The sequence below is a fragment of the Homo sapiens genome, chromosome 5 (assembly GCF_000001405.40).
Source record: "Homo sapiens chromosome 5, GRCh38.p14 Primary Assembly".
In the NCBI taxonomy this organism is placed as follows: domain Eukaryota; kingdom Metazoa; phylum Chordata; class Mammalia; order Primates; family Hominidae; genus Homo; species Homo sapiens.
The window spans coordinates 57,836,863-57,858,243 of NC_000005.10; the positions used below are offsets into that span (position 1 = coordinate 57,836,863).

General features: G+C 39.0%; 2 annotated features.

The window, feature by feature from the left end:
• Positions 780-1,074: a silencer, noted in NCBI's record as "tiled region #14379; K562 Repressive non-DNase unmatched - State 24:Quies". NCBI's record gives its function as "represses a minimal TATA promoter and a strong SV40 promoter by Sharpr-MPRA in K562 cells {active_cell/tissue: K562}" and the evidence as "EXISTENCE:reporter gene assay evidence [ECO:0000049][PMID:27701403]".
• Positions 8,771-9,351: an enhancer, noted in NCBI's record as "NANOG hESC enhancer chr5:57141460-57142040 (GRCh37/hg19 assembly coordinates)". NCBI's record gives its function as "activates a minimal SCP1, AML or CMV promoter by ChIP-STARR-seq in naive H9 embryonic stem cells {active_cell/tissue: H9 hESC(naive)}" and the evidence as "EXISTENCE:reporter gene assay evidence [ECO:0000049][PMID:30033119]".

Here is a 21,381-nt window from a genome sequence, read left to right on the forward strand (position 1 = left end):
CCAGTTAGCATCTAATTAAAAAGTCCTGTTACAGAGTTAGCTATAGCAAGAAATTTAGCGGCCTGATGAAGTCAAAGTTTGTAAAGTGGCATGGCAAATGTTAGAAATATGTTTTCATTCATCAAATTAGTGTCTTTAGATATGTGCACTGACTGGAATTATTAAAAACATGATCCTCCCCCTTTGCCAGATGAGGCATACAAGTATGGGGAGCTCTGCGGTCTGTACACTTCAGCATGGTGCCCAAGGCCTGATGCTGACAGTCTCCCATTGGTCTGCTGACTCAGAGTGCTGGTTTGCCTGGATTTGCCTACACCTTGCCTCTGAAATACTTTTGCATCTGCTTTGAGAGAACTTTTAATCCAGAATGTAGTCCAAGCACTAAAATATCAGAGAGGGAGCTAGAGAACATGCAGTACCAGTTGTGTGTTGTGATGGTTTCTCTGACTGCTTGAAAATAAATGTTTGTAGTTGTAGCAGAATTCAGTTTGAGACTTGATGTCATACGTGATAGCAAGGCTGTAGAAAGGTGACCAAGAACACTCACATCTCTCTTACAATAGGACATGTCTACCCCAAAGAACTTAATAATTACAAACAGCAAAATTAGCTTACGTTAATTCATAGCACATATCCATGGACATTTTCTCGAAATGCAAGTATTCTATTCTCCTTTGGGACTCCATCCTTGTCCTTTTTTGATGTTTGATTCGTATAAAATAGTAAAACTGAGCATTCAGATAATTATCCCATGGTTAGAAAACTTACATCATTGAAGGTTTTTAATAAGAAAGTCGATTCAGCAAACTTTGAACTCTTCACCTGGGACTTTTCCCATGTCCCTCCCCATGCCTGGCAGTATTAAGATGGCTTCCAGGCTGACTCAGTGTCTCTGGAATTCCCTCCCTCTTGCATTCCAACAGAGCTTCCTTTGCTGGCATTTAGTACATGGTGCCAGGCATCTGCTGATTTGGCTTGTGTTTAATCTGAATTGTTGCTATTTGACTGAGTTTTGTATTTCATAGGGACTGTTAATCATAAGTCACCAGCTGAGCAGCATGTGTGGTTGTTGGGACAGAGAGTTTAACTTATTGTTACTATTGGAAACATAATTTTTAAAAAGTTCTTCAAAAGTGCGTGTCATTTGGATTGTTCAGAAGCAACTGTTTTAGAAAAGAAAAGCTCTGTCTCATCCCCTTGTGTTGTTCTCCCTTCATGCATTTCAACAAATAAGCAAGGGCTGGGTGTGGTGGCTCATGCCTGTAATCCCAGCACCATGGGAGGCCGAGGTGGGTGAATCACTTGAGGCCAGGAGTTCGAGACCAGCCTGGCCAACATGGTGAAACCCCGTCTCTATTGAAAAAAAAAATAGCCAGGCATGGTGGTATGCGCCTATAATCCCAGCTACTCCAGAGGCTGAGGCATGGGAATTGCTTGAACCTGGGAGGTTGCAGTCAGCCGGGATCATGCCACTGCACTCTAGCCTGGGTGCAGAGACTAGAGAGAGATTCTGTCTCAAAACAAACAAGCAAACAAACAAGCAAGCAAACAAAGTGATAGACCTGCATTGTTTCTTCCTTGGTTGAGGTCCAGACTATGGATTCAGTGAAGGAGTTGTGGCCATGGCAGGCAGGGGTCACTAAATAAATGAGACAGCAGAGCAGACTAATGGAGGAAATAGAGCTTGTCCATGTGGCTCTGTTTCTCTCTTCCTACCCTAATCTCTTTATACTCATTAATCCTAATGAAAGCAGGCTGGAGGAGAGAGCTGGTGGAGAGGAAAATTGTGGAGAGCAGAATCTCTCTGGACAGAATAGTAAATACAAAACCAAAATGTGAAATTTGTTCTTGAAAGTGACAGTTGCTTGTTCATGCTCTGTGAAGTCTGAGTGTGTGTTTGTGCTGAGGTGTGCTATACTCCCCAAGAGTAAATATGCCTAGAGTCAGGGGTCTCGTTTCCTGATCAATACAAATAATGTATCAATCACCACCATGCTTGTGGAAGTGGGGAGGGTGTAGAGAAATATGGACACATGTAACACTGGTGACGGCAAAGGTCATTTTAAGAGTTGATGCTGTCAGATTAATTAACCTGTCATGTTTAGGTAGCTAATAGTATTTTAAGGGAGTTTTTCAAGTTGCACATAATTCTCATATTTCACAGGACACACCTTTGGAACAATTACTTGATTTTGTATTTATAGCAGCTTCTCCCTGTCCGTCCCATAAAAAAATGCCAAAAAGACTGACCATAAATTGGTCAAAACTTTATTCATGGGCGACAGTCCCATTATAAAATAGAAGGCAATATATATGTCTCTTCTTTTTTTCTCTTCTGATGATTTTGTTGGTGATTCAATCTGTAAACCTTGATGAGTTATTCGCTTAGTCATTTAGCAAACATTTAATGAGAACCTGCAGCACAATAAACATGAATATAAATAAATATGTGGGGAAAATAATAATGATCAGGAATTAAAGGGAGCTACTGTTGATGTTTCTTGACTGCCTTCTGTAGCCCAGCATTCATTTTAAAAAATATTTTTATAATTAAAAATATACATGTATATCAAAGTCAAATCTTCTTCAAGGCTTATAATATAAAACACCAAATTCTGTCTTCCACAGCCCTTCTCACCTCTCATCACCTAGAGGAAGCCACTTTTAATCCTTTTAGCTGTTTCTTCTGGTATTTGCCTTTAGGGTTACATAACATGCTATTCTGCTATTTATTCATTTGTTGATTTTAAATATCGCCTATAAACATCCTACAATGGAAGGCATTTGTTTAGCTTCCTTAAATACCTGCCCTCACCCTAACACACACTTCCACTTCTGTTTCCTAAGATCATGAACATTATAATTTTTATCAGATCACTGTTCAGCCTATACATTGCTATGTTTATATAAATATTATGCACAGTTAAGCCATGTAGACATTCTGTTGTGCAGGAAGGGAAGAGATCCAAGGTTTTCACTGCTCCTTACAAAGATTTTCAGTTGGCCCTCATCTTTTTATCACCATCAACACCCTACTTTCAAGGCACCTCCTGCCTGAACTCCTGAGCCCTCTGAGATTCTGAAGTGCAAATAAGCCTTCTTCATGATTTCATTCACTGCAGAGACTCCATGTTTGCCAAATTGGTTACTTCAAGTCAGTCCATTGCTTTCCATATATGTATATATAATCTTGTTTTCTCTTTTATCTTTTCCTTTGCTTTCTTTGCCCTAGGGTTTAAAAAGTTTTAATTTATTTACTGAAATTTTAATGTGTTACTGGAGTAAAGCACATATGTTTCAATCTTCCACATTTAATCCAAGTCCCAAATACTCTTTTGAAATTCTAGCTAATAATACTATATACCGTTATGAATCTTTTTTTTATAGAGGAATAAATCAAGACTAGGAGAAGTTAACTTGCCCAAGGTTGTGCAAATAGTAAGTGATGATTCCACTTGCTAATAAAAGTCTTGTTAGTTTCTTTCCAGCACACTGCCTTTTACTGTAAGGCACAGTTCCCGTTTTAAAGAGTTTATAGTTTTTGTGGGGAGGTAAAACTTGTGCACAGATGTAAGAATACAATACATTAAATGTCAAGAAAAAGAAAAATGGCCCAATGTGCAATGGGAATTCAGAGAAAAGAGAAATGTTTTCCTACCCATTTCTTTGTGTCTGAAATGCCACTTGGCATGAACTACACGTCTTTCAGTTCTGTAGGAACATTTCTTCATACCGAAATCTTATTTTAAGGGATAAAACCTCTATTCTTCAGCCAGTTGGAATTTGACAGTATTCCATGAAGTAACTGGAGAGGAGTGGGCAATAATATGAATTCTCAAATGACAACAACCCTTAAGGTGATATTTTAGAAAAAAAGAGTAAGATTTTTCAATACATGTCTATGAGTATATTTGACTTTAAAGACATTCAAGAGAGAATTTTTGCCTGTATTTTTTTTCCACTGATAATACATAGTCCTTGATCTTGTTACATATGAAGTGTATGTCTGTATCTCTCTGTCAAATATTCAAATATGGTTTATGATCATATCTACATCTGTCCAGACTTGAGGTTTTTTTTTTTTTCATGGCTAGCTAGGACTACTATCACTCATGCCACTTACACTCTGTGAATCCAAAGCACTATCTCCATTTGCATCCCAGAAGGCAGAATCACATCGTGGATTGGGGAACAGTCTCTATAGCCAATTGGACCGTGCTCCACTCCAGGGTCTCCCTTTACCTTCTTGCCATGTGATGTTGAGCTATTTCACTAAACCTCTCCCTTCATGTCTTATATTTCTTATCTGTAAAATGGGGATAATGGTGGAATCTAGGTCATAGTGTTTTATGAAGGTTAATAGATAAAATCAATGTGATGCACTTAGAATAGTGTCTGGTACACAGAAAATACTATATGATCATCATTTCTTCTTCTAGGAACGTCAGGCAGAAGCAATCTCTAAGGGTCACTTATGCATCAGGTTCTATTTTGTTTGCTGTAGGAGAAGTTTTTTCAATCATATGTTCGTTATTTTATCTTGAAACCATTTATTGAGTGCCTGCAGATACAATGGATTGCAAAATTAGACATGTCACTGCCTTCCTAGAATCCTGAGCATAGTGAAGAGACAGTCATGGCTCAACTAATTATACAAATAAATGTAAGATTACAACCATGGTAAGTGCTAGGAAAGACAGGCTTCATGACTCCTTATTACATTTGAATACACAGAGTTTAGTGCCTAACAGAGCAAAATTGTGTGTTTCTTGAAGAATCCAAGTGCTTTAATGCCAAAGAAGGGAAGGGCTGCTCAGTGCAGAAACTGAGAACATCCTGAGAAACTAATTAAAACCTTCCTATTTGATGACACCCATAGGATGGGAATCGCTTCCTCTCTCGACTTTCCTTGACACAACTTGCTCAGGAGGAATGCAAAGGATGGGTGGGATCTTCCCCAGCATGAGAGTGAAAGGAAGCCACATACCAAAGAGATGACGGTGGCACAAGAAATGCTGCAGCTGCTAATTCCACCTCCACCCTGTGGGACAACTGCTTAGCAATATTTCAAAGGCAAAAACAAAGTACAGGAAAAAAGAAAAAAAATGGATTTAACAACTTCCTTGACTGGAGGTCTGGATAAGAGTGGAGCACATTTTAAAGTGGACTTTATGGCAGAAATACATGTGGCTTTACAGACATCTGTGCCTGGGATTCACAGAGCCCAAGTGTACATTTGTACATGAAGCACAATCAGCTATTCAAGGCATTTGGCAAGAAACTGGAATATTGATGCCATTTCAATATAATACGTGTTCATCTCCTGTGCATCACTAATGCCAGTTTTACCAGAAAGCTGTAGCTGAGAATTCCATCCAGAATTCTTTCTGCCATTCTTCATTACCAGTGCTTGAAAGGGCAGTGTCCTCCTGCTGAACTTTTAAATTGTTAATTTCAGAAAAATACATTCCCTTTCAGTTTTATGTAACACACGAAGAGAAAATGAGTTTAAGAGTGGAGACAGAGTGTCATATATCAATGGCTGGGAAACAAAATTTAAAGAGAATGAACTCAAGAGATCTACAGCATAAAGACTATAGTTAATAACAATGTTTTACATACTTAAAAATTAATAAGAGAATCAATTTGAAGTGTGTTCACCACAAAAAAATGATAGGTATGTGAGGTAATGCATATGTTGATTAGCTTGATATAGCCATTCCACAATATATACGTATTTCAAAACATCATGTTGTACATATAAATATAGTTTTTATTTTGCAATTTAAAAAATTGTTCTCATTTGACCTTTGTACTTCCCTGACTATATTTCTGTGTCTCTATATCCCATTTATCTGCTTGTCTGTCTATCTTCACCTCATTCACTTTCTCTTCCTTCAAGCTTTCACATTGCATGTCATTGTTTGATGGCTCTGCAGTCAGGATGGACAATTAAGAGACTGTTTCCCGAACATCCACTATGAGTTGGGTAGGAATGTCTTTGAACTCATGAAAATTGCCATCTGGAAGTGAAGACAAATATGAGACATACTTAAAAGTGTGATGAGTGTCAAGAAAAGAAATACATAGGATACTCTGGAATCAAATAGCGATAGTAACAGTAATAACAACTAAGGTTAATTCCATGCTCACTATGTACCCAGGCACTCTTCTCAGTGATTTATATGTATTATTAATTTTAATGTACATATCACATCCATGAGGTAATGTACTATCACTTTCCATTTTATAGATGTGAAAATTAAAGCCCAGAGGGATTAAATACTTAAGTATTTTTCCAAGGCTGCCCAGATAGAAAGCGGTGCACTGTGATTTGAACCATGTGGTTTGGCTACTGCGCCTCTGTGCACTCTAAGTACACTCTTATACACAAGAGAATTTAGCTTGATCTGCCTGGAGAAAGTGTACTACAGTTTAAAATAATATTAATACATTTTGGGGATTTATTTGAGTACTCCTTTAATAAATGTGAGCAAATATTTTTCTCTTTAAAAATTAAGGTAGATTGAAAATAAACATAAAATGCCTCTAAATGTAAAGTAGTGGGATCCTGGGAAAAAATGGCTATGAAGGAAACGCTAGTGCAATTCACATAAAGTGAGGCATAATGCATCAATATCGGTTTCTCAGTTGTGACAAATATACAATTGTAAGATGTTAACAACAGGGGAAAATGGGTAAGGAATACACAGGGGTTCTCTGTATTATAATATCTTTGTAACTTTTCTGTAAATCTAAAACTCTTCTGAAATTAAAAATTTACTTAATCAAAAAAGAAACGAAAAGAAAATATCTGCTAGACTGATCAACCCCCATTAAGCATGTATTAGTTGCAAACTAAACAGTTCTCTAGAAAAGGCAACTCCTCTTTGGCACGTTCTCTCTGCTACTCAGGCAGGCAGCACGGCAGCATCTTCAGCATCTCACAGGGCATCTGTGCCCATTTGTTTCTTGGCCTCTTACCTGGTCAGGCCACGCAGATCATACATTTTTGCAACACCATCCTCTTTAACCTGTATATCAATGTACTCAGCATCATTTCCTTGCCCTTTTCCTGTTCAGTAGAAACTGGTAGCCCTTGTCCTGATTCCACCCAATAAAATAGTATCTTAACAACTTTGCTCCTTTGGATCTTTAAGTGGTGTATTCTTAATCCAGTACTGATACCTGGGCCATCAGATTTGGCCCTGTCCTGCAGGGTTTCGCTCATTCTGTGGAAGCTGCCAGTCTGAAGCCTGGGAGACCTAGACCATGAATGGTTCCTGTGGAAATCAAGCACCCACAGAGACTTCTCTGGCTCACACGGGCGGCGTTTTTGAGTATTTTAAAAAAGAATTTAAGAACTGACAGTCTCTCCAATACGGCAAATAACTTCCTATGGAAGAGGGAGAAGCCAGGTAGATGAGGAATCAAAACAACACACTTCAGTTCAGTAATTTGCAAAAGAGTGAGGCCAACTTTAGTTAGGGAGTAAGGTTTATCTCCACAAAGTTCCAATGACTCTGCCTTCTAATAGAGTCATTCTAATATTTCTCAAATGCATCCCCTCCTGTGTCAGTCAGGGTCCAACCAGGAAATGAAAAATCTCTTCAAATATTTTAAAAGAGAGAATTTATAGAGCAGATTGTTGTACAGGTGATGGAAAAGGTGAGAAGCCAAATAGGAGACAATGAGACAACTCAATGTTAGTAACAGCAGGAAGCTACAATCAACTCCGGGCTGGAGAAACAAAGGGAGGAAATGGGGTTCCCAGAGCCCAGGGGTGGGATCCTTGGGCAGAAGCCAGAACTGTGGCATATGTGCAGGGAGGCAGCTAGAGGCAAGAAGAGAATACAATGGCTGCTGGAGGTGTCACCTGAGGCCTAGACAGAGGATGAAATGCGTTGATTTTTTTTCTTCTTTCTTCCCAATCTCCTTCCAGTAAATACCGCTGGCCAAATCTAATAAAAAACTACCTGACATAGAAACCCAGTAAAGATAGTCCAGAGAAATCAGTCCCCCTTCCAGACAGCACAGAAACATGGCAATGGCTTCATTTGAGGTCTCCACCATCTCTTTCTTGCACCACTACAGAATCTTTTTAACCTTTCTTTTTGATTCAACAATCTCAGTCTTCCTCCAACTCATTCTCTATACTTCAGCTAGAGTGATTTTTGTTGAAACACAAATATATATGTCAAGTCCCTGCTTAAACCTTGATATGACCCCCTGCTAACTACAGGCTAAGTCCAAGTTTTTAGCATGGCGGAAAAGCTCTTGTCTCTGGTCCCTGCCTTCCTCTCTGGCTCATTTCCCACAACTCACTGCATGATTCAGCTTGAGTGTTTGCAAGACTTCAGGGGACACAGAGTGGTGTTAGCTACTTAAGTGTTGTTCACTTTGTAGACTTCAGAAGGAGGCACCCAGGCATGAGGGTTGTCATGGAGGGCATGGCGGGGGCACCAAAGCTGTCACTCTAAAGAGGCTTCTGGATGCCACCATGAGCAGGTCTGGAGAGTGAAAGAGTACTCAGTGAGAGCACAAAGGACAAATGGGAGGAGAAACCGAAGAGCCTTGAAAGGACATCAACTCATGATGATGTGAGATTAAGGACACGATTAAGTGAGATTTGAATTATTCCTTTTTTTTTTTTTTGAGACAGAGTCTTGCTCTGCCGCTCAGGCTGGAGTGCAGTGGCGCGATCTTGGCTCACTAAGCAACATCCGCCTCCCGGGTTCACGCTATTCTCCCGCCTCAGCCTCCTGAGTAGCTGGGACTACAGGCGCGTGCCACCACGCCCGGCTAATATTTTGTATTTTTAGTAGAGATGGGGTTTCACCGTGTTAGCCAGGATGGTCTTGATCTCACGACCTTGTGATCCGCCCGCCTTGGCCTCCCAAAGTGCTGGGATTACAGGCATGAGCCATCGTTCCCGGCTGAATGATTCTTAATGAAATCCATCAGGTTGGTTAACTTTGAGGAAACAAAGATTACATTTGGTTGAGAATAGAAGTCAATGTCCAAAGATGTTGCTAAGGCTATTGTTACTAAAGTTAATCCTCCAGGAAACAGATCTCTAGCAGAATAAATGAATATGAAAGGCTCATTTCTGATAAGCACTAGAGGCTATTTATTTGTGATCCTGGGGCTTAATTAAAATGAGAGAAATTAACATACATGAGCCTCTTAGGGAATAATCAAGTCCTAGAAGATATGATGAGGACAAACAGAAGGTAGAAAGTGTGCATTTGAGAAGTCAGAGAAAGTTTTGATGAAGTTTCCATAACTTCTAGATTTTTAAGAATATCTGTATGATACCATACATACATAGGAATTTCTTTGAATTTATCTGGAGTCTTACTGGAATGTAAACCTCCCTTATGATGAGGTTAAAAGATAACACTACTCTTCAACCTTAGAAGAAAACCAAAAATTTATTGGGCTAACACAATGTGCCAAGCATTGAGCTGGGCAGATTCCATAATGTGTTTCATTTTGTTATATTTTTTATTTAACAGACAGGGGAAACAAGGCTCAAAGATGTTAAGTGACTTGCTGAAGGCTGCACAGAAAGCGAGGAGAGTTGGTATTTCATCCTAGTTGTCCTTCTACTCCATGCTGGCTTTTGTCTGTTAATAGGCAATCCTCATGATGGAGTACAAATAAGAATCACTTGGTATTGAATTCAGCTTTCTCATTGAGAATGTTAAAATAACATTTGAATATATTTCTAAATAGAATCATTTTAAAATCCTATATAAAAGATTTCTGAAAACTGTGGAATTCATTTTAAAGGTTTATTTTCCTACTGATTTATAAAACCATTCACCCTACATTTCTCAAACTCCAGGTTTACCCATGATATCTTTGATCTGCCCAGCCTTTGAATATATTTATTATCTTATTTTCCGTCTTTAGGAAGAGACACTGATTACTATAACTGTGATGTGTTGGCAGAAGTCCCCAGAAAGCAGTTCTCTGAGATGGGAATAAGCATGCAGAGTATTTTTAAAAAGGGTTCTTGAAAATCAATCCTGTGGAAGAGAGGGCAAGGAAGCAGAATTTGGAATAGAAAAAAGTTGAGCCATGCTGCAATATCCACAAGGGACTAGCCCACCTTGCTCGGAGCCCTGGAGCTGGGATGGCCCTTCTGAGTTGTTCTGAGTTGGATAAAGAGAGCTCCCCATGTTGATCAGTAACTGGAAGGAAATGTATCTTTAGCTGCGATATTTTTACTCTGGTGAGAGAATTCCAAAGCAGGACTAAGAAAGAGGACTATTTCCTGATAGCTGGGGGCATAAGCCCTTCATTCCTTAAGGGAGCTCTGAATGACATGTTACACCATTGATCACAATGATGAACATAATTCTTAATAAATCTCTGTACATAAAATAAATGTATCTATCTATTAAATATATAACACATGGTAAGATATATAAATATATCTGATATATAAACATTTACTTTATATAATTATAAAATTATGCTTATTTTATAACCAAATGATAAATGCAGTAACTACCTGTATCAGTATAAAAGCTGGACTTGTAAGAATAAATAAATTGGTCAATGTAGTGCCTACAAATTAAATATGCAGGGTGCCCATCTGTGGTTCAAGAGAGAGCAGAAACACAGAACTTCTTAAGGCTGTCTTGCTTTTGCCACCATATGTACTGTTGCTGTGCTGATAATAGAAATGCAAAGGTCTGTCTGCCGTGGGATTGTGTTTATTTTACTATGTACAGAGAAGGGTGCTAAGCTTACTGACTTTGTTTTTGTATGTTTTCTGGTTCTAAAGACTAATAATAGATGACAACTGAAAAAATATAAAATCAACATGTGGTAAAAACTGTTTTTAAAAAAGTAAACATTCATTTCCCCGAAATTGCATTGGCCTTCCTCTATTTACTTGGTCAACTTCTTCCCATTTGACCCATTTTCATCAACTTAGCTGTATTTTAGAAGTTTGAGAAGCCAAATATGTAACCACAAATAATAAATGTAGAGAATCCCAAAATGTCAAGGTGAAAAGAAAGAAGAGGACTAACGTATTCCTTCCTTTTGGGTTAACTGCGAGGCTGCTGAGACTCTGCCTGCTGTCTCCTTTGCTGTGCCCATCCTGCTTCTGACTCAGCCATCTAAATCAAGGGTACATAAGATCTCTGTGGCTCCTTGAGGTACAGTCCCTAATATCTAGTGCCCAAAGGGCGTGTGTAACATGATCACAATGATTGAAAGGATGAGTGACTTAAATTTGTTCAGGTGATGCGGTAGTGCATGGAGTGTGTGAAAGGAAAATATCTCATGTCCCCCAAATCACTAAGGAGAACTCAAGCCGGGAACTGATTAGGGCAAACCTGCCTCCCATTCTATTCAAAGTCACTCCTGTGCTCACTGAAATAGATTGATGCATATCTGATTTGTCTCCTTTTGAAATCCTAATCAGAAACTCAAAAGAATATAACCATTTGTGTATCACCTATTTGTGACCTGGAAGCTCCCTCCCACCTTGGAGTCTTCCTGCCTTTGCTTCAAGTGGTCCCGCCTTCCCAGACTGAACCAATGTACTTCTTACATATATAGGTTGATGTTTTATGTCTCCCTAAATGTATAAAACCAAGCTGTGCCCTGACCACCTTGGGCACACGTCATCAGGACTTCCTGAGGCTGTGTCACAGGCGTGTCCTCAACCTTGGCAAAATAAACTTTCTAAATTAACTGAAAACTCTCAAATTTTCGGGTTTCACAGTGCATGCCTAGAATGAGCTGAGCTGTGCTTTGAATTAGGAAACACAGGTGCCCAAGGAAATCTGGAGAACATTGGCCCATCTAAAATGACAATTGTCATCATTGTTACACTTTTCTTCTATTAGTTCTTTCTTGTGTTCTGTGATTTGAATGTTTGTTTTCTCCAAAACTCATGATGAAATTTAATTGCCATGTTGATTGTATTGGGAGGTGAGACCTTTATGAGGTGTTTAGGTCTTTTGGGGTCCATGCTTATGAATGGAGTCATGCCCGTTTTTGCAGGAGTGGTTTGTTATTATCACTCCATTATTATCACTGGAGTGGGTTTGCCCTATCTTCCTCTCTTTCTCTCCCTTTTTGCCCTTCCACTATGTGGTGCCTTCTGCCATGTTATGTCATAGCTAGAAAGTCCTTGCCAGATGCCAGCACCTTGATATTGGACTTCTAGCCTCCAGAACTGTGAGCCAATAAATTTATGTTCATTATAAATTACCCAATCTGTGGTATTCTATTATAGGAGCAAACAAAGACACTGTCCTTTCGGACAATGTTAGGTCTGCTTTGGCTACTATTTATACAAGAAAGTCTTAGTCATGCCCCAAAAGATGTGGATGGGCCAAATATATTTCTTTACTTTGTTTCTTAAAAGTTTATTTTATCCATTCATTCATTTATTAACTCATTCAATTGTTTTCACATTCATTTAAAATTAATTAATTGTTTTGTTTTGTGGCCAGATAGTGCAGGTACTTGCTCTAAGGCTGACATATAGAACTGCATTGAATATTGCTTGAAAATTTGAACCTGAATGTTTAGGATAGTAGAATTCCAGTTTGTATGATTATCACTGTAATGAAACAGCAGACAGCTAACTATCTTCCATTTATTTTTTTCTTAATTTTCTCAAAATACTGCCACATACTTTACTTCAGAAGCTCTTGTTTTTCTTTTCATCCTTTTCAAAGCCATCCTTTGAGAGAGTACCTTAATTCATTTTCTCCCAGTAGTTTTTTGTTTGTTTGCTTTTGAGATGGAGTTTTGCTCTTACTGCCCAAGCTGGAGTGCAGTGCAATGGCACGACCTCAGCTGACTGCAGCCTCCACCTCCTGGGTTCAAGCGATTCTCCCGCCTCAGCCTCCTGAGTAGCTGTGATTACAGGCGCCTGCCACCACGCCTGGCTAATTTTTTGTATTTTTGGTAGAGATGGGGTTTCACCATGTTGGCCAGGCTGGTCTCCAAATCCTGACCTCAAATGGTCCGTCCTCCTCGGCCTCCCAGCCTTTTTTTTTTTTTTTTTGAGCCGGAGTTGTTTCACTCTTATCACCCAGGTTGAAGCGCGGTGGAGATCTCAGCTGACTGCAACCTCCGCCTCCTGGGTTCAAGTGATTCTCCTGCCTCAGCCTCCCAAGTGGCTGGGATTATAGGTGTGCTTTGTTTTGTTTACTTGTTTTGTGGCCATAGGCAAGTCAAACTCCATGAACCTCAATTTCTCCATTTGCAAAATGGGATAATAATACTTGCCTCCTACACTCCTTGAGTGTTGTGAGAATTAAAAAGATAAAGTTTGCAGAGTGCTTTGTAAAAACACAGACCCTTTCATCTAAGGAAGGAGACAGAGTGTTATTATTTTTGTTGTTATTGATAGCCATGTTCCCACACAGCTTTATTTTTATGGTGTGCTTAACTGCATAGGGATGAGTCACAGAAATAAAAGGTGGTAAACATTTAGCAGGTCATCCAGTTCAAACTCATTGTAGAATTCTTCTCCTGCAACATGCTGTTATATCTTAGTCCTATTTCAAAGTCTTAAAGCATCAAACAAGAAATGGTTCATTTCTTTCTGCTTGACAGTAGAACTGTTATAAAGAACAATTCCAGTGGCGACTTTTGATCTAAGCATTTTCCTAATGGCCCAATTGGAACAACTATTTGAATCTCTGCCAGGAGGTTATTTTTGCCCAATGTGAGTGTAATTATTTTTGGGACCCTTTTATTACTTTCCTGGGGGAAATGGAGTCACAGTCCATTAGCTCTTTTTTTGCTGATGCTCTTTAAAATGTTCAGCTTAAATGTTCCATTTAGGAATTTCCTAACCATTGGTCCATGGAGCAGACCAAATCTTCTTCAGAAATATCTCATTTCAAACACAGTTAAATTGCTTTAAATTCAACTCCAGAAGACTAATTTAAAAGAATGTGATAATCTCAGCCTTGTGGAGTGCACATATTTTGTATTTGGCAGGTATATAATCTATCACTGAAGATCGAGAGATTCTAGTGTATTATAGTACATACATATTTATGGAATAAATAAATGAATTATTTATATTATCATGCATGTCTCTAACTCATTGTTACTTAATTCAGTGGGACAACGATACTTCCTTTGTCTTTTTGGATTAGTATTTATCTATCTTTCCATAAATAAATTGTTTGGAAGCATCACACTTCTGATGCAAATACCAGTTAGAAGGTCTAAATACCAGCTAAAATGATATTTAGACTTTCAAAACTCTGAAGCATTTACTATGCATTAGTAGCTGACAATAGGTTGGTAAGCCAAACAAACTTGTTTCTGTTGCAGTGCTTACTGAGTACTTCAGCCAATGAGAGTTGGTTCTGAAGGTACGATAATTCCATTTTATTCTCCAGAGAGTTCATTTTGTCATTCTTTTGTTAGAAAGAGTAAAGCAAAAATTAAATCGATATCTCAAGTAATTCTTTCCCTTCTACTAGTGGTGGTTTAATTAATGACTCTATCAAATTAATCTCTTAATTAAAATTACATTTTTAAGTGCTTATGATGACTGTTTTGAATGTAAATGTGATGTCCAATCAGAACAAAGTTCATTGGTTTAAGTGAAAAGATTTTGTTCTTCATTCACCTCTATATTCCCCAAATCCAAGGATTTTGAGCAATGGTTAGACTTAATTAATACAAAATAGAAGGACGTGGCTTCTAAGAGAGAACTACATTCTAATCTCTATTAGTCAAAACACTAAAATAAATCTTTAAAAAATCATTAAAATAATAAGGTTCTCCTTTGTGAGGTGTGTGGGAAATCTAGAAATATAAGTTCGTTCAAAACTGCTCAAGTTATTATCTACTGAAATTAGATCACAGAGCTTTTGACATTTAAAATATTTTTATGTGGCATATTTTCAGATAGTGAAATTATTGGTGGTCAACTTTTTGGATGCTTTGCTCTTAAATTTATTTTGCCTTCAACTTAGTAACTGGGTAGTGAGATAGGTGGTGGTAATTAGCTATCTGAGTCAGTGGGGAGGAGCCTGTAATACTGAATACAGTATTACAGTTTCTTTGGTGTGTGGTATGGTTAGCACACATAAGATACTTAAGACAAGCTGGGTGCCAGATCTGGGAAAATGAAGTAAAATCACTTTGATAGACTGTGTAGGATACAAAATAGCAAATCTCAGACTCTATACTTTGCCATTCTTTTACTTAACTGTTTTGTTTTCTCAAACTTTATACCAATTAGTTTAGGCACGTAATTTGTAAATTCCTGGCCTAGGAATATGAAACAAAATAATATCATGGTAAGTCTGTGGATTTCTTTATCTGTTTAATCTTTGTTTCAGATAATTGTGGAACAAAAGTCTGGACAAAAATATAAAGGGATGATGACACTACATTTTGGAAATAAATGTATTTTAGTGTCCTTAGACCTATAACACTATTCTGTCAACTTAATGGTTTTAATTAAGTGCATACCGAATAGTTCCTGACATTAGTCTTATTTCCATAAGAGATATTTCTGTTAGATCAAGTCCAGGGGTTTCTAAGGGAGACTATAGAACCTGGAGTTGAAAATCATTAATTTTGTTATTCTCTGTAATCATCAATTTATTACAATGAACTTTTGTGCAATGAAAAATTATTATCTCTTCACAGATATCAACAGTTTAAAATGGGAAGAATTTTGTTTGAGCATTTGAGGATTTCACACTATGCATCTAGTTCCTTCTGTTTACCTGCCTTCTTCCAGGTTTTGTAGCCTCTCATTCCTGAGAGAGCAGTAGAAAGCTGAGATATGAAGAGGCTATGAGGTCCTCTTGTTTTTGAGCCTCATTTGCAGTTGTGGCAGTAGATCGATAAGAGGAAGCATGAATTGCAGTGAGCAGCAATGGGAAAGATTCATACTGTTAAGTGAAAATTACTAAACAATAGAATGATACCAACCTGCAGAAAATGTCATATTACATGGATTTTATGCCTCTTATGTAAGAATAACTGGTTGGATTCAAATTCATATTAAGGCACATATTTTCCATCTCTATACTACTTGACACCTCAGCTTAAATTTTGGTTTTGACAAAAATAGCCAATAGCTTTACATGACTCTTTCCAAAGACAACCAAATGGCATTTCCTTGTCCATCACTAGGACTTAGCATCATTTGCAATGGCTAAGTGCAGTTGACTTGCACCTAGGAAGGTTTCCATGTTGTATTTTTGTTGAAGTAAATTCAGCAGGTAGATAGACGAATAGCAGCCCTTGGCTTTTGCAGACAGGTGTCATTGTCCTGACTTGACTAATATTTATCTGGGTTTGTTTAATCTCTTCCTCCTTTCTCAGAGTTTTGTTTTTATTTTTTTTAACCTACATGCTTTCACCTACAATTCAACTTCCTCAGAATTGTTGTTGTCCCACCTTGTGCAATTTTTACTTCCACAGTTATTACATTTCCTAATGAGTGCTTCTCTTTGTTCTATGACATAGTGTTCAACACTGCTTTCCTGCTCTCCCCAGAATGCTCACTGCTTATTAGTGTGCTTCCCACCTGCACAGCTATGCAACATGTTTCTTCAGCTAATCTCTTGGCTCATCTTCCCTTTTATATTTCCCTAACACACTGTGCAGTTCAGCCTCATTTGATTTATCACCAACATAACAACTCCCTTATAACTTTGCCTTTCTGTTTGCTTCTGTGGATGTGAAGGTCTTTCAGGAGAAGCTGATTTTTATTACTAATAACAGAAACACTATCTGAAGACTTTTATAAAAGGACCTTAGAGCATCTCACAAACATCACCATCTTTATCTTTCATGTTGTCCTTATTAAAAACATATTCTCTACCTATGTTTTCTCTACCTGAGTATAGATATCTCTGTGTATTATATCACACAGAGTGAATATAATTTTGGTCCTCAAAGAAATGAGTTTAAAGAGTATAATAACAAATTAGTAGAAATTCTGCCTGCCTAAAAATTGTGATGAAAATAAATGACAATAAGAGAATTTAGAAAAACATTTTCCAGGTTTTTAAGTTGTATGTGTGCTTAAACGAGAAGCATATTATAAAAATTCCTCCCAATCTAGTTTCCCAATCTTGTGATTATCCTTCTGAGACACTCACATGGGCCCATTTCCTGTAAATCAGTATTAGAGAAGGATGCTTCAGGCAGACCACCTTGAAGTAATAATTGTCTTTCTCAGGAGATTGTCACATGTGCTAGGCCCTCTGGGAGGAAATGAATGAATTGCCCATTGTGACTTGAAGCACAGAGAAGAAATTTTAAAGGTGAAAATTTCCAAAGTGTTAATGCTCAGAGTAATCACCGGAGTGTGGCAGCTAGCCCTCGAAGGGCCCACCCTTCCTAGAATCAGTAAACTCTTCCCCTGTAGAAAAATTACATAAACATTTGAAGATTTCCTTTTGTCCTAAGAATTCTATTTGTCTGCCAAGGTGATAATTATTTGGGCTGGAAATTTGGCCAGTTGCAATCTCTATTAAGGCATTGGTGGCTGTATTCTTTCCTGCTCTTTTTCATTTGTGATCCTGTGATTTGCTGGGCCTCTGGGGCCTCTTGAGTCAAGAGCTGCCTCTGAGAGCTGTTAGCAGGAAGGAGGGGACATGCCTATGTCTTTTCTCTCTAAATGGCAGGCCTCACTCTGGAGTTGCCCCATGGTAGCCTCCTCATCTCTTCTCCATGCCAAGCAAAAGGCTTTTGACAAGTCTGGATTGGGCAGAAACCCAGAGATTGCTGTAGGGCATCGCTTTCATGAGGACAACCAATAGATCTGCACAATGTCCATGACCAGTCACAAGGCCACTTTTTTCTTGTTCCTCTTACATGCCAGTCCCCATCCTCCACATCTTGACAAAATTACTAGAGAGGAATGCAAAGCTTGGGAAACTTTACTCCCTCCTCATTTCCATTAAATAACTTCACTCTTGGCCCCCTAACACCCTACTACCCTATTGCTTTAGAAAACAAAAAGTATATTCTTCCTTCAAAAGGTAAATGACCTGGAATTTGTTATTTCTTTCTCCAGATATTCTCTTTTATTGTAGTTTGGGTTATATTGAGAAACTCTGTGTTGGAGTTTAAAGTACAGAATTTTTTTTTAATGGAATATCCTTGGGACCAACATCTCTGGAGGGTGGAAAAAGAAGCAGGATTAGAAGGAGGAGGTATTGAGTTGAGACACAGACTCAACATGCTTCGTGAATTCCACAGGGATCTCTGGAGCCAGAATGGCCCCCCAGAGCTGTTCTCAGTTGACCCAAGATGACCAGTCCTTTATGTTCCTGCATCATTTGGTGATCACATGTGAGTATCCCTAGCAAAGACATAACCTTGGGCTAGAGGACACTTATGGCACTGAGACAATCCCTGAAAGGGCTGACAGATGATGGCAGTCTTCTGACAGCATTCTATGGTAAAGTACCTGGGACAACAACTCTTTTATTAAAGAGAAATCTGTGTGGTGTACTATAGCGTCTACCATAGGCTACCCTTTGCTCCATTCAGATTCTCTTATTAATACACATTTAGGAAGCAGTTATTTGGAATTCTGCTGGACTCCTCATGAGCTAAACTGAGAATAGGAAGATATTAGGACAAACTATAGCCCCAATACTGCAGCTGATCTCAGAGTCACAACTTAAACTCATTGTTCCCCTCTACTATTGAGTCTAGATTTTCTTTCTCTCTCTCTTTCTTCCAACAAGAATGAGCTTAGAATCTTTTCTTCTATTTTCTTTTTTGTTGAGATGAAATCCTGCTGTGTTTCACAGGCTAGTCGTGAACTTCTGGCTCAAGTGATCTTCCCACCTCGGCCTCCAGACTAGTTGAAATTACAGGCATGCACACTGTGCCTGGCCTGCTTTTCTTTATTTTTACTTTGCATCTCTGTTGGTTTCAGTGTTTAGCTGGGCACTACCCATACTCTCAGCCTTGAGTAGTCTTAGTTTCTGGTCACCATGCCATTCTCAAAACCAGGATTGCTGAACTCGGTCCATTTGCCATCATAATTGGCAAAGAGAATATCGAAAATACCCAGGTGAGTTACCTGGGTTGCTAGACTTATTCTTCCTTGTTCCATTGTGTAATAGCAGCCCTACTTCTACTTGATAGTTTGGTTAATTACCTTGCCAAAATGATGACTCCTCCTGTTGCCATCTGGTTCCTTGGCACAAGAAACCTAAATGCCTAGGCTACAGTCAAAGCTTGTAAGACAATGGGATTGTTACTATATCCTTTGGCAGAAGTGTTCTCCCTTTGAGAACCAGGATCTCAAAATCCATAGGATCCAGAGTTTCAGAGTAATGAATTATTCAATCAAGTCACTGGGAAAGAAAGGAGGTGAGACCACTTTTTCTTCTACCCCTTAGTTCTTAGAACCATGTATTTTTCCTTTTGGGGAAATAGAACCACATGAAGGTCTTTGAATCAAAGTGTATACTAGTCCTAGAAGCTGACAACCTGTCATTGTAAAGCATTGGCCATTGGCCCTGAGCTGAGATTTTAGTTGTGTCTTCAGAAGACTGTTTCAATGCTCTATCAGGCTACTAACTTTGATGTAAGGAGACAAATAATATGCCCAGAGGATCTCCTGATTTGGGGCCAACTCCATCTCTGTTTTGCTATAGTTCTCCTGATTATGTGAGATCCCATAGCAATGGATTAAGCACTTTGTAAACTTTGTTTTTTTTTTTTTCCAGATGGAGTCTTGCTCTGTGGCCCAGGCTGGAGTGCAGTGGCGTGATCTTGACTTACTGTAACCTTCACCTCCCTGGTTCAAGTGATTTCCCTGCCTCAGCCTCCCGAGTAGCTGGGATTCCAGGCGCACACCACCATGCCCGGCTAATTTTTTTATATTGTTAGTAGAGACAGGGTTTTCACCATGTTGGCCAGACTGGTCTCAAACTCCTGACCTCAGGCAATCCACCAGTCTCAGCCTCCAAAAGTGCTGGGATTACAGGCGTGAGCCACCGCGCCCAGCCGTATAAACTCTTGGATAGTGGTAATGACTAAGTGTCTGCTTGCAAGAAGGCAAACCAAGTGGCAAGTTGGTTTCCTCAAGGGGTAGTGCCATAATTCAGAGTCAATGTTGGTCTCTGTTGCTGGCAGGTTGAATATTTAGCAGAAGTAATAGCTAAATTACTTCTTGTTAAGTTAGGAACCCATGCTCTTGGAGACTTCTATTTTTATCAGCTTAGCAACTCTGTTCATATGCCCATTATATCAGTTTTGAGGTAGACAATGACAGAGGCAGGCTGATGTTATCTGGCTGAATCATTTTGGTTTCATGGTTATTTAGTAACTCCACTGTGTTGAATGCTATCTGGTGGGTGTAATCATGTGATACAAAGATTTTATAATTTGAGCCCACTCTCATGTTTACCCACATGCCTCTACCCCTGATCTTTTTGTCGCTGATCTTCCCATTTTCTCTCTCCAGGCCCCAATTAACCTGCCAGGCCACTTGCCACTGCTGATTAGTCCGTAAGTGTAGTCTAATCTACTTATGTGTAGTCTAATCTGCTTCTCTTTCCACACAAAGTAGATGGTCAAGGTGCAGAGAAGTGAGTTGTCACTATTTCCTGGGGCCTTTGCCAAGATTCTAAATCCTGTATACTGAGAGAGTGCTCCCCAAATGACAAACTCTCCCTTATCCAACCTTACGGTATAACCACCTTGATCAAGCACACTCAACATGCAATCACATGTATACTTTTCCAATTCCTGCTGGTACATTCTGTTTCTTGTAGCTCCTTTGGGTTACAGTATCTTTCTTCCCTAATTAGGCCCAGTATGTCCCTGGCTTGGTTTTCCTGCAGCTTAACCATAGCTATCATAGCCAAAAAGAAGTAGGGGCATATCCTGAGGGAGACAAAATTGTCTTGCAGGGGGCAGGCCTCTGAATTTTCTTCCTACAAGAGGGGAGGGAGGTTAACTCTTGACTGGGGAAGGAGAGCCCTTCTGCAATCTCAGAAGATTTCAGGAAATCTAAGGATTCAGGACTTGTTTGGACATACACATAGATACCTATCCAATGCATCAGGGGCCTATTATTTTTTTCAAGCCAAGGCCCTAATCCTGGCATAGAAGGTATGTCTTGATAAGGAGTTTAACCTTCTTCAGAGCTTGGCAACTCTGATTATTAAATCCTATTCCTGTCCTATGATTTCTAGGCCCTCCTGCTGCAGAAAATTAGATCCTTTATATATGTTACCAAGAAGGCGCTTTACTTTCACACCTGCTTTCAATTACCTGTAAATTTCTCTCAGCTTTTTCTTTCTTTCAGAAAAGGGAGCTTAGAAAATAGCCACATGGGCTGGGCATGGTGGCTCATGCCTGTAATCCCAGCACTTTGGGAGG